Genomic DNA, 13,952 nt, shown 5'->3' on the forward strand with positions numbered 1-13,952 from the left:
ACATGTCTTGATACAGACCAAGCAAATGTTTTAAAATTCATAACGATTAAAAATCAAAAGAGAAAAGACAGTCCTACTTAAAGAGAAAAAACGGGCAAAGGACATAGACTGAGACACTTCAATATATGCTCTTAGATATTTAACAGTGATGATGAAGAGTGATGTCCCTTTCCCTTTCCACTCTGCCTTCCCTCCTATCACACCTTTGCAGGAAGACGGTGTTGGAGGGGCTGTGGGCATTGTAAGGATGCCACTGAGGGAAAGTTTAGTAGGGAATGCATTTATATTGGGTTTAGTGGGGATAAAGGGTTCACAACCACCTGTGAATAGAGTCATGTAATCGCCAGAGTCATAATGGCTGCAGGATTCCTCCTGCTGCCTGCACACTGGCTCCACTCTTCTCATGTAGTGACACAAAGTTGCAGGGCTGGGGGACTTATGCCCACAAGACCTTGTGCCATGTGGCCTATGCTAGCAACAGGCCTCTGCCAGCAACAGGTAGTGAAGAAACAAGGTTAAAAATGTAGGGAAGCAATTGCTTCAGTGAAGCCTTTGTTCTCAGTGATGCCCAGGCAAAACAGAAGTTGTCTCCTGTCAATGAATATTCTCAAGGATGTAATGTACAGAAAATCACCCTGTGGATTTTTTTCTTTTATGATGGGAATCATGTAAAATAGAATTGATCAAAATTCCTGCAGTAGGACAGCAGAAACCTATAGCTATAACTACAAAAAGCCAGGAGGTCGAGACCAGCCTGGCCAACATGGTGAAACCACATCTCTACTAAAAAAAAAAAAATTAGCTGGGCATGGTGGCAGATGCCTGTAATCCCAACTACCAGGAGGCTGAAGCAGGAGAATCACTTGAACCCAGGAGGTGGAGGCTGCAGTGAGCCGAGATCACACCATTGTACTCCAGCCTGGGCAACAAGAGCGAAACTCCATCTCCAAAGAAAAAAAACAGCAAGCACATGTGTGTGTGAAATTGAAATCACATGATTTTTGCATCCCAGATATCTAGAGTTAAACATTTTTTCGGTTTCCATTCCCCATGCTAGAGGAAGGACTGAATTATCTATTTCCAGAATTTAAAAAATTATTACAAAATTGTTGTCATGTGAAGGGGTGGATCAAAGGGTATGCAACCAACACATAATATAATAATATAATAATGGGTTGGTTGTACACTCTTTGATCACCTTATATCATCTTTTATATGTATATTATATAAGAAAATATATAATAAAAGCATTTCAAGCAGTTAATAAAAATATGTACATTTTCTGGATTTGTTATGTTGATAAATATCAACATTATAAATTCATAATTTGTTAGAATTAATTTTGTCATTCTAAATCAATATTGTCTCATACCTAATTCTGTATTCATAATTTTGTCTTCTCATCTTTAACAGGGCTTCCCCTCAATTGTATTACTTTCAGGCCTATAAAATCTGGATTATTGTTCCCCTATTTCCTTATTTTTTTCTTAGTTTAGATTTCAGGGACTGTATGAGTTCGTTTTCACGCTGCTGATAAAGACATACCCGAGACTGGGCAATTTACAAAAGAAAGAGGTTTAATGGACTTACAGTTCCATGTGGCTGGGGAAGCCTCACAATCATGGCAGAAAGGAAGGAGGAACAAGTCACATCTTACACAGATGGCAGCAGGCAAAGAGAGTGCTTGTGCAGAGAAACTCCCCCTTATAAAGCCATCAGACCTCACGAGACTTATTCACTATCATGAGAATAGCATGGGAAAGACCCGCCCCCATGATTCAATTACCTCCCACTGGGTCCCTCCCACAACACGTCGGAATTGTGGAAGATGCAATTCAAGATGAGATTTGGGTGGGGACACAGCCAAACCGTATCAGGGACCAACATCACACTGCTCTTTTGCAAGCATCCCTAACACTATTGGCATGTTCTCCATTTCCCTAATAAAACTTCAGCCATGTCTAAGCACAACTAAACCCCTACTCAGCATCTACACACAAGTCACCAAACTGAGCCACCAGAAAACACAGCACTGGTGCTGACTTGACTCACTTGAAATTCAGAACCACCAAGTTTAAATGAGCTCAAACTGTTCAGCAATCCTATGCACTTTCGTTGTATGTCTCTCACTCTGAAATAATCATGCCACTATGGGTTCTCTTTATTGAAACCTCCTACCTCTCTTCTTGCCCAAATCTTCACTCTCAGTTGCTGCACATTTCATTGATTAAATGGATGCCACCACATGAAATTTTCTGTATTTTCTCACCAATAAATTTTCTGGTACATCTTGCCTTCTTCGATGAATGAAGTGTCTTTGCTTATATTAAAGACTATAAGCCCTCTACTTAATTGTGGCTTCATACTTTTCCTGTAAATTTCACCTGTCTTTCTGGCACCACAAATGCATCCCTTTCTACTGGATCATCCCAATTACCACATTAAATCTGGTATTTCCTATCTTTAAAAGAGAGAGAGGGGAAAGGAGACAGAGAGAGAGACTTCCTAAATCCCTATAAGCTTCCCAGCTGCTGCCCATTTCTCTGCACCCCTATATAGTAGATCATCTCAAAGATGTTTCTGTAGCCATTCTATAGCCATCTCCAACACACACACACATGTACACACATCCTCTCCCAAATCAGACTACTTCTCACCACCTTCACCGCTGCTATTCAAGCCCAAACCACCATCATCTCTGGCCTGGATAACTTGAATCAACCAACTGATTTCACCCTTACCCTCACATTCAATATAGCAGCAGGATCAGTATTTTAAAATGCAAAATCTGGTTAAACCCCCTATGATGACTTCAATGCTTCCCATCACACCTACAAAAAAATTGAAACCCCTTTTCCTTGTTTTCAGACTCTGATGATCTGGCATCTTTTTTTCTCTCCAATTTAATCTCCCTCATGCACTTTGATCACCTCATGTGCTGTGCTCTATAGCACATCCGATTTATTTCTATTCCTTAAGCAAGTGAATTCCTGCCTCGGGGACTCTGCAGTTTCTGTTCCCTCTTCCTGGTGTACTCTTCCCCAGGATTTCCATATAGCTTTCCCTTTAATTTCTATTTATTCAATTTATCTCAAAAGTACCCTTCTCTGAAATTCCTCCCCTGAGCACTGTTTCTAAAGTAGCACTTCCTCTCCATGATCTCAGCTTTATTTTCTTCTTAGCACAGGTCACTACCTGGCCTTCACATTGACCTGTTTATGCGATATCTGTTTATGTGTTTACTTTTTGTCTCCTCCACTAGAACACATGTGCCATGAGAACAAGGGCATTATCTCTGTTGTTTTCTGCTATATCTCGCAGCCTAGGACAGTGCATGACACAGAATGAAAACTCAATAAATATGTGGAATGAATGAAAGAGTGAATGAATGGATTAGCTCTTCAGTCTACTCCTATCCCAGTCATACCTCTGAAATTGTCAAACTCACCAATCGGCTGCAGGGTGTTTCCTCTGTCATCTTTTTTTCTTTCTTCTTTTCTTTTCTTTCTTTTTCTTTTCTTTTTTTTTTTTTTTTTTTGAGACAGAGTCTTGCTCTGTCACCCAGGCCAGAGTGCAATGGTGTGATCTTGGCTCACTACAGCCTCCACTGCTGGGTTCAAGCAATTCTCCTGCCTCAGCCTCCCAAGTAGCTGGGATTACAGGCATGCACCACCATGCCTGGCTAATTTTTGTATTTTTAGTAGAGATGGGGTTTTGCCATGTTGGCCAGGCTGGTCTCCAACTCCTGACCTCAGGTGATCTGCTCACCTTGGCCTCCTAAAGTGTCTGTCATCTTTCTTGATAGGTGAATTATTTATGGTGTGGGCTATGATGCTAAAATAGAGACCCCAAAATACAGTGATTGTAGAGAGAATTTAATTTATTTCTTTCACAAGGGAGTCCAAATGGCAGTAGGCAATCCACAGCAGATGGATGGCTCTGCTTAAGAGCATTCAGGTTCCCAGGTTCCTTTCACCAATTTCTCTGATATTCCTTGGAGTACTGTCCTCATGCACATGATTGAAGCTGAGCCCCTTCCATGTCCACATTCCAGCCTATGGAAAACCAGGAAAAGAGAAAGGTGGCGTGCACACCCAATATTGTAAGGCCAAGTATAGCAGATTGCATAAGTTCCTTTTTCTCACACCCCACTGACTTGAGCTCAGCCTCATGGCCACACCTAGCTGCAAAAGAGACTGGGAAATGTAGTCTCCATGTAAGTGGCTTTGTGTCCAGCTACAGCTCAGTGGTTTCTATTACTAAAAGAAAAATGGAGAAAATGGGTACAGAGGACAAGCAGGAGTCTCTGCCACAACATCTTAGGAGCATTTGTTACAGAGGATCGTTCTCTCCTTCATGGAATACTTTTGTTCTTTTGGCTTCAGTGACACCACACTCTCCTGGTTTTCCTCTGGGCCCTCTGCCTACTCACTCAATCTCTTTTGCTGGGTGAACTTATTCTGTTTGACCTCTGCATGTTGGACTTCCTGAAGGCTTTGTCCTGTGCCATCTTTTATTCCTTCCATCTACATGCTTCTCTAGGTAATTTTATTCAATTATGTGATTTTATATACCACATTGATAGAAATAACTTCTGAATTTATGTCTTTAGCCATGACCTTTCCCTGGAGCTCCAAATTCATATATCCAGTTGCCTACTTAACATAGTTGATCATAACTCTTGGTTACTTTGGCCACCCATGTCCCTCTCCCAAGCCTGCTCCTGCTTCAGTTTTCTGCATTTCAAGAAACAGAGAAATAGCTTCAGCATCATTCCAGGTGCTCTGACAAAAACCTTAGGTATCATTCTTAGCTTAGTTCTTCTCTCACTTCCCGTCATCCACTTCGTTGACAAGTTTATACCCTCGACCTCCAAAAAAACACATCCTGAGTTTAACTTCTTTCTGTCTTCCCCATTACCAGCCTGAGCCCAGCCAGCCTCACCATTTTACTGGATGACTCATCTTCCTACTGCCACTTTCACTGCCAACAAGCCAACCTTACACAGCACCCTAAGTGATGAATTAAAAACATGAATCAGCTCATGTTGATCATTGAACCCTTTCCCATCTCACCTTGAATAAAACCCAAACTCTCTACCCTGGTCTACAAAGCCCTACAGGGACTGGCACCACCCACCTCTCCAGCCTCATCTCATGTCACCTGTTTTCTCAATGACCCACTCCCATCACGGTGGCACATACCAAGTCTATTTCCATTTTAGGGAAGATATGAGGCAGAAAGACCTTAAATGGATGTTTTCTCTGCATGAAATGCTTGTGCCCCAGAACTTCCCCAGGAAGATCCTTCTCATCCTTTAGGTCACATTGCAAAGGTCAACTCCTTAGAGAAGTTGTCCCTGTCCACGCAGTCTGCAGTAGACTGCTCCTTTCAACCCATCACTCTTAGTCGCATCACCCTGTCTTATTCTCTCAATAACACTTAACACTACCTAGCATAATATATTTGTTTATTCGCCATCCATCTCCCCTCACGGTGGATGTGAATTTCATGGGAGCAGGGCTTGTCTTGGGCCCCACTGCAAATCCCGGGCCAGGCACACGTTGGGCCCTCAGTAAGGATCTGCTGAATGAATGTATGTCTGAATACAGCTCCAATTCTGGAACCTCTTTAGCACCCCAGGAGTATTTTAAAGACCATGAATGTGTGAATAAAAATTCTATATTTCCAACTTCTTTTAAAGACTTTTTCCAGACTGCTTTAGTACCATAAAATCTGCTTTTCTCTTCTGACATAAGGGCAAAAAATTAGATTCTCCTTTAGTAAATGCACTCAGGCATATTCAGGAGAGACCACAGCCTTTAGTGCTCAGGTTCTTAATCTGAGTCCATGGACCCCTAGAAGGTCCATGGGTGTGCTGAAATTATATACAGAAGATACATTCATTTTTCTAGGAGGTAGGTTCATAGGTTTGTTGAATACTCAGAGGAGGTCAGTGGCCAAAATGAAATCCATTTTATTGTGGAAAAAGTATTAGAGGCCGGGCACGGTGCCTCACGCCTGTAATCTCAACACTTGGGGAGGCTGAGGTGGGTGGATCACTGAGGTCAGGAGTTTTGAGACCAGTCTGGCCAACATGGCGAAACCCCATCTCCACTAAAAATACAAATATATATATATATATAAATATATATTTTATATTATATATATATATTTTATATATAATATATTATATATATTATATATATTATATATATTTTATATATTATATATTTTATATATAATATATTATATATAAAATATATTTTATATATAATATATAATATATAAAATATATTTTATATATTGTATATTTTATATTATATATTTTATATATAAAATATATTTTATATACTATATATTTTATATATAAAATATATTTTATATACTATATATTTTATATAAAATATATATTTTATATGTCATATATTTTATATATAATATATATTTTATATGTCATATATTTTATATATAATATATATTTTATATGTCATACATTTTATATATAATATATATTTTATATGTCATACATTTTATATATAATATATATTTTATATGTCATACATTTTATATATAATATATATTTTATATGTCATACATTTTATATATAATATATATTTTATATGTCATACATTTTATATATATCTTTTATATGTCATACATTTTATATATAATATATCTTTTATATGTCATACATTTTATATATAATATATCTTTTATATGTCATACATATAATATTATATATATTATATATTATATAATATATTATATATTATATTATATATATTATATATTATATAATATATAATATATTATATAATATATTATATAATATATTATATATATAATATATTATATAATATATTATATAATATATTATATATATTATATAAAAATATATATTTTGTATATAAAATTTTATATATAAAATATATATATAATACATTATAATTATATATATTATATATATATATATATATATAGCCGGGCATGGTGGCAGGTGCCTGTAATCCCAGGTACTCAGGAAGCTGAGGGAGGAGAATCACTTGAACCTGGGAGATGGAGGTTGCAGTGACCCAAGATCACGCCACTGCACTCCAGCCTGAGTGACAAAGCGAGACTCCATCTCAAAAAAAAAAAAAAAAAAAGGTTTAGAGATGGACTTGCGCAATCTCTATTTGAGTTCTGGTGATGTCAGTCACAAATAATGCAAATTTGTGCAGATTATGTAATTTATTTAGATTCTAGTTTTCTTATCTTTAAAAATAATCTGACTTACATGTATTCTGACTTACATGTACCCACACTTAAAATATATTTAATCCCATCACGGGATGCTATGTGCTTTACCGTATCTCACAGGTAATGACAATGAGGCTCAGAATCTACTCAGGCTACTTGCCAAATCACATTTGTTCCCATATAAGTTGTGGATCAAGACCCATGTTTCTCCCATGCTTCAAATTGCCTGCTCTTTATTTTATTTATTTATTTATTTAGACACAGTCTCGTTCTGTCACCCAGGCTGGACTGTAGTGGTGCGATCTTGGTTCACTCCAACCTTCACCTCTTGGGTTCAAGCGATTCTTCTGCCTCAGCCTCCCAAGTATCTGGGATTACAGATGCCCGCCACGATGCCCAGCTAATTTTTCTATTTTTAGTAGACACAGGATTTCACCATGTTGGCCAGGCTGATCTCGAACTCCTGATCTCATGTGATCCACCCACCTCCACCTCCCACACTGCTGGGATTCCAGGCGTGAGCCACCGTGCCCAGCCTACTTTTTAAATAAGAGTTTGCAGTACCATCATTCTGCAGTCCAATTTCTCTGGGTGGAATAATGTCTTGGACCACTTCACAGCAAGTACCATAGAGAAAAGCAGCCAGCTGGTGATGTAGTTTCCCAGCCAGGTAAGCGCGCTTTTGAACCAGACCAGAGCCCTGTGAACCCAGGAGTACGGGCTTTATCATCCATTCTTGACAGAAGAGAAAATGAAAGCACAAAGAGATTAAGTAATTGACTCTAGGTCAGAAGGTTAGTAATTTTCAGGGCTGAAAGTTTATGCTTCACAATGTAATATTTTCTTAACTTTTCTACTAAAATGACCTTGGGAATCTTTACTAAGATTCTTCACTAGAGGGCTGACTCTTATCGTCATAGTTTAGTATTTGGCTGTTCTTCAAAAAATTATTTTAAAGTACTTTGCAAAGCTTGAGTAATATTTTTTTTCTAAAAGGACAGGAAGATATGTAATGTGCCCATTGAACAAGGATTAATGACATTGTTAGGAAGGAAGGAAAAAGGATATCACTTCTACATCGATTTCAGCGTTTATGCATTAACACCAGACAATGACCTCTAAAATGAGAAGAGCACTAGCTTAACATTGTAAATTGACAAGGATCTTGGAAATGAGGAATTAAGGTTAGTCAGAGATTCAACTGTATAGATTCTACTCATGGCAGGGTAAGAGGCAACTGAGAATAACATGAAAGCCACCGGTAAGTATTTGACTTTTTTTTTTTCCTTTCCCTCTGCTTATACTAATGGTCCATTATACTTCAGGAAAAATAGAGACAGTACTGAGACTGTTTCCAAAAGAGGCTTTAGGTGGCTAATAGTGTCACACTGGCCAGTCTCAGGGACCAGTTGTGCAGTGCACTTTTGACTTGAAATACAGTTGTTGTTAAGCATAAGTTAAAAGCTGAGTTTTCAAAAGTTGTGTCATTGCATAGGAGTTTAAATATAAGCAATAGCTTATTGGCTACTAAGTGCAGTTTTTATAATCCTCCCATCCAAATGTGCCTCTAGATCATACACTCTGGTCAGATATGCTTTTGAGACACTGTTCAGGCAAAGGCAAGCACTACCTTCCCAGATGGTTTTCAGTGCATTTCTGCCCCACAAACCAGAGCAACTCTCCAGTTTCTTTCTTTCTCTCTTTCTTTTCCAAGGTCAAAGCTCAGACAGCTTGGTTCTCCAAGAGACTGATGGCCCCAATCCCTGAAATGAACAGCAGTCCTAAAGAGCAGCAGCCTCTCTGCCAAGGGGAATGGCAACACCAGGCAAAGCCAATAGACTCATCTCTTTTATGATTCCATGAGGCGTTCATGATCACAGGGAGTAGCTGCATTGCTAATTAGGGGTCACGGAGGTGGTGAGGGCCTCATTCATTCATTCACCCTTTCTTTCAGTGAATACATCTTCAACTGCAAACAATTCTTTTGATGATTATCTGAATGTTCTCGCAGCACGGAGGCCTACTTTCTAGGACCTCCACGTCTCATCCGCACTTGGCCGACCACGGAATCAATGAGATTTGACTCACCGAACATCAGACTCTTCCTATAAAAAACTCATCTTTTTATTCAACAAATATTTCTTGAGTGATCACTACCTGTGAGCACTATTCTAGGTATTGGAGATAAAACAATAAACAAATGGGACAAAATCATAGCCTTCAAGATGCTTGTTTTCTAGGGGGGAGAAATATACAACACATACAAAATACTAACATTTCAGATTATGGTACATTCCATGGAGAAAGCTAAAGAGGTCAAGAGAATAAGGAATGTGGATGCACACGTGCATTACATAGAGAGTAGTCCCAGAAAACTCCTCTGATAAGGCAACATTGAGCAAAACTGGGAGGAAGTCAAAAGTCAAGCCATGCAGAGGTGTGGAAAAGAACTTTCTAGGCAGAGGGAAGTGTGAAAGCAAAGGTCCTAATAGAGGAGCAAGTTTTTGTCTTGTCTGATGAATGAGGATAGGTAAGGGTGAGCAGGAAAAGTGATAAGAGATGAGGTCAGAGAAACAATGGAGCCAGATTGAGTAAGACCTCAGAGGCTACTCTAGGATGCTGCCTTTTACTCTGAGTGCATTGGAAGCCACTGGCAAGTTTTGAGCAGCAATGGCTATTTTGGCTGCTCTGAGGAGAATGGAATATGGGGTGAAAGGCTGGGAGCAGGCAGACCAGTCAGGAGGAACAACAGAAATTGCTGATTGCCACATAGTAGCCATCTGCCCTTTCTTTCTTTAGCAATAGAACCCTGATTCTTATTTGTGGCAGCAACGCACCCAGCTAAAGTCTAGATTTCCTAGATACTCTCTGTCCCCTGTCCCTTACAATTAGACAGAGTCATGTGATTAATTTCTGGCCAATGACCTATAAGAAGGTAGATTTATAGCACACTTTGGAGCACTGCTTAAAAAGAGCCTACTCAGTTGGGAGTTCTTTGCTCTTTTGCTTCCTTCTGCTGCCAACCTGGAACATAGACATAATAGCTGGAACTCTAGCAGCCATCTGCAACCATAAGGAGATCTTTTTGTTTTGTTTTGTTTTTCTCCCCTTCTGCATTCTTATCATTTATTTGTGGTAAGAACACTTAAAATCTATTCTCTTAACACTTTTCAAGTATACGATACGATATGTTATTAACTATAGTCACTACGTTACAGAACTCTTGAATTTATTCCTGCTGCCTAGCTGAAATTTTGTATCCTTTGACCAACATCTCCTCAATCCCTACCCTTCCCTCCTTAAACCCTGTTAACTGTAATTCCTCTCTCTGCTTCAATGAGATGGCCTTTTTTAGATTTCACATATAAGTGAGATCATGTAGTATTTGTCTTTCTGTGTCTGGCTTATTTCCTTTAACATAATATCCTCCAGATTAACCTGTGTTATTGCAAATGACAAGATTTCCTTCTTGAGGCTGAATAGTATTATCCATTCATCTATTGATGGACACTTAGGTTGATTCCATATCTTGGCTATTGTGCACAATGCTGCAATGAACATATCAAAGAGGTATGAAGATTTCATACCTTTTTGAAATGCTGATTACATTGCATAAGACGGCCTTTAAAATGGAAGCCACATGCTGAGGATGGTGGAACAGAAAGCTCAGGTGGGTCCCTGAGGATAGCATAGAAATACCACACCAAATCTGGACGGCCTATTTCTGGACTCGTTTCACATGAGAGAGAAATGGGCCAGGCATGGTAGCTCATGCCTGTAATCCTAGCACTTTGGGAGGCCGAGGTGGGTGGATCATTTGAGGTCAGGAGTTCGAGACCAGCCTGGCCAACTTGATGAAACCCCGTCTCTACTAAAAATACAAAAATTAGCCAGGTGTGGTAGTACACGCTTGTAATCCCAGCTACTTGGGAGGCTGAGGCAGGAGAATCACTTGAACCCCGGAGAAGGAGGTTGCAGCGAGCTGAGATTGCGTGGCTGAACTCCAGCCTGGGCAAAAGAGGGAGACTCTGTTTCAAAAAGGAAAAAAAAAGAGAGAGAGAAAAAAAAATAAAGTTCTTTTCTGTTTAAGCCACTGGTTTTTAAATTTGCGGTTTTTTTTTTCCAGCTCTATGTAGCTAAACTGAAACATGATGAATATAAGTAGCCTTTGCAACAATCCAGGTGAGAGAAGACAGTGGTTTGGCCCGGGGGGGTGGCAAAGGATGTCAGATACTGGACTTTTTTTTGAATCCTATAGGATTTGCAGATGGTTTAGATACAAGAATGAATGAACTATTAATAGAAAAACTAAGACTTCTGGTTTGGGGCCCAAGTGACTTGAGAGTGTAATGATTTACAGAGATGCAGAAGGCTATGGAGGGGGCAGGCTTGGGTGTGGGACTGGGGTTGGTGGGAACGGCAGTCTAGGGCACACGTGGCAGCATGGCCTTGATAGAAGCAGGAACACGATGAAACAGGGAGGGAGGCCAAGAGCACGGGGCACAGATTGGTAGGAAATGAGTGAGCTCTCATCCTACTGCTTCTATTTTCTCAACAAAGGCTGATCCAGGTCATCCCCTGAGACTGAAGGGAAGAAAGCAGAGGGTGGAGATGGGAGGTTTGAAGAGAAAGACACTATGGAATAGTCCTTTTAGTGAGTGGGATTGCTGGGCAGCCATGGGTGTGCATCTGTCTGAAATCTGTGCTCTCTAATTTAAAGAAAAGCCACTTACCAGCGCTGTGTGTTTTTCTGCAATCCAGTCCAGTTGCATGGTTGGGTTTAACTGAGCCTGGGTTTCACCAGACAAGCACTGTAGGATATAAGATGAGAGAAACAGGGGGAATGAAGGGGTGTTTGCAAGAAGGAGATCAGAATGATGGATCAGGAATCAAAACTGGATAAAGAAAGAAGTAAACACATGAGATGGATGAACACAGACTTGACAGTTCTTGAAAAGACCGAAAAACAGGGTGGGCTCCAAAGAAGCCAAACAGAAGGATAGAAGGTTGTGAAGGGGGAAAAGGAGATTTCGGAGATGCAATTAGTCATCAGTGAGGACAAGGTCAAATGAGTCACTGGAGAGAGAAGGAATTGAGAAGCTAAAGATATTGAATGGAGGTCAAGGTGCTGAATAAAGTATATTTCATTATAAGACTAATAATAAAATTCGTTCACAACTTCCTCTAATTAGATTTGTTATCTGCTTTGAATAAAGATACCATTAATTAGTCTAAGTACTTTAAATTTAATTTTTTTTTCTGAAGGGATATTTATGGGACTTCAAAGAACAAAGTTTTACCCAAACAACTAAGTTTTTGTTGGGTGAAAATATAAAGCATTTTTTTCCATGTGAAACTTCTTTGTATCTTGATATCTCTTCTTTTTCTTCTGTGAGTTTTTTTAGGCGGCGAGTCTATTAACACAATCTTTTAAAGATTGACCTGTTTATTCTCTCTGAAATAGTTCATGTCATAGCTTGTTTCTTCTAAGCTGGACTTTGCCCCCTTGTACTTTCCTTGCAACTTTTTCATCGTTTTTTAAAACAACATTTATTCTCATATTTACTTATTTTCTCAAATGTTTGTTTCCTTTCTTCCTGCTCCATCTCCCTGTTCCTCAGATTCCTTTCCTTAGGAGAAAAAATTGGGGTATTTCCCACAGCATGCTGTGAGAAAAGTCTCTGAACTTCCTGGGGGTGGGACTTGTGAACACAGAGGGTCTTGCACACTATTTTATATCCAGCGAGTGTTCAGATTACAGGGCCAGGCCTCAGATACAGGTCCAGTTTGTGGAAGGCGGTCCCTGAAACATTATGAACACTGCTTTGCTCCTTCTGTCTCCTAGTCCCTCTTCTTAAGCTCAAACGTTATTAATTGGGAGTCTGTTCTGGGCTACTCATTGTACTGATTAAAGTAATTCACATTAATGGGCAATGACTGATCTACTCAATTCTCTTAGGGGAAGTCACATTTCTAAAATGTGCATATTAATCCAAATAAAACCCTGATTCATGAGATAAATGTAAAGCAAATGATTAACACTCTATTCAGGGTTTTCTGTCACAGAACAAAATATTTTCTTTTCTCTTGGGGCCCCAAAACAGCCTTCTCATCCCTTAGAAAGTGGGCTAGGACAATGTAAAATTGGACAGTAGAGTTGTGTGTGTGTACGTGTGTCTCTGTGTGTGTGCAGCACCTGTCACCTCATCTACACATCTCTCTAGCTCATGATATATGTTTCAAATCATGAACCAGAGACATTCATATATGAACATGGTTAAGACATATTCATTCTTTCTTTCTTTCTTTTCTTTTCTTTCTTTTTTTTTTTTTTTGAGACGGTGTCTCGCACTGTCGCCCAGGCTGGAGTGCAATGGCGCGATCTCGACTCACTGCAACCTCCGCCTCCCGGGTTCACACGATTCTCCTGCCTCAGCCTCCTGAGTAGCTGAGGTTAAGACATATTCTTAACGAGTAAGTTCTTTGTCTAGGATAATATTTTGTAATTTTCCACAGAATATTCTTCAGATGCCTAACTTGATGAAGGTTTTCAGGAGCCTAGTCTTAGAATCATAGAGGTTCTTGGCTCCTGGTTCCTTCTTAAATCCAATTGTTCATTACTGGAATATACAAATGAGTAGGGAGCCAGAAATGATAGGCACCAGAAACTGAGGTTTCCATTTCTCAATGTGGCCTGAACTAAATGAATT

General features: G+C 39.3%; 1 long non-coding RNA gene across 1 annotated transcript; it reads right to left on the minus strand.

Moving 5' to 3' along the window:
- Positions 1–3,862: 3,862 nt before the first annotated feature.
- On the minus strand, positions 3,863–13,591 carry LOC124901425 (uncharacterized). Its single transcript, XR_007059806.1, has 2 exons — positions 11,976–13,591; positions 3,863–4,055 (listed from the first exon to the last, which is right to left on the minus strand). It is a non-coding gene; the product is annotated as an uncharacterized LOC124901425 (long non-coding RNA).
- Positions 13,592–13,952: the final 361 nt, after the last annotated feature.

This window comes from Homo sapiens, chromosome 6 (assembly GCF_000001405.40).
Source record: "Homo sapiens chromosome 6, GRCh38.p14 Primary Assembly".
In the NCBI taxonomy this organism is placed as follows: domain Eukaryota; kingdom Metazoa; phylum Chordata; class Mammalia; order Primates; family Hominidae; genus Homo; species Homo sapiens.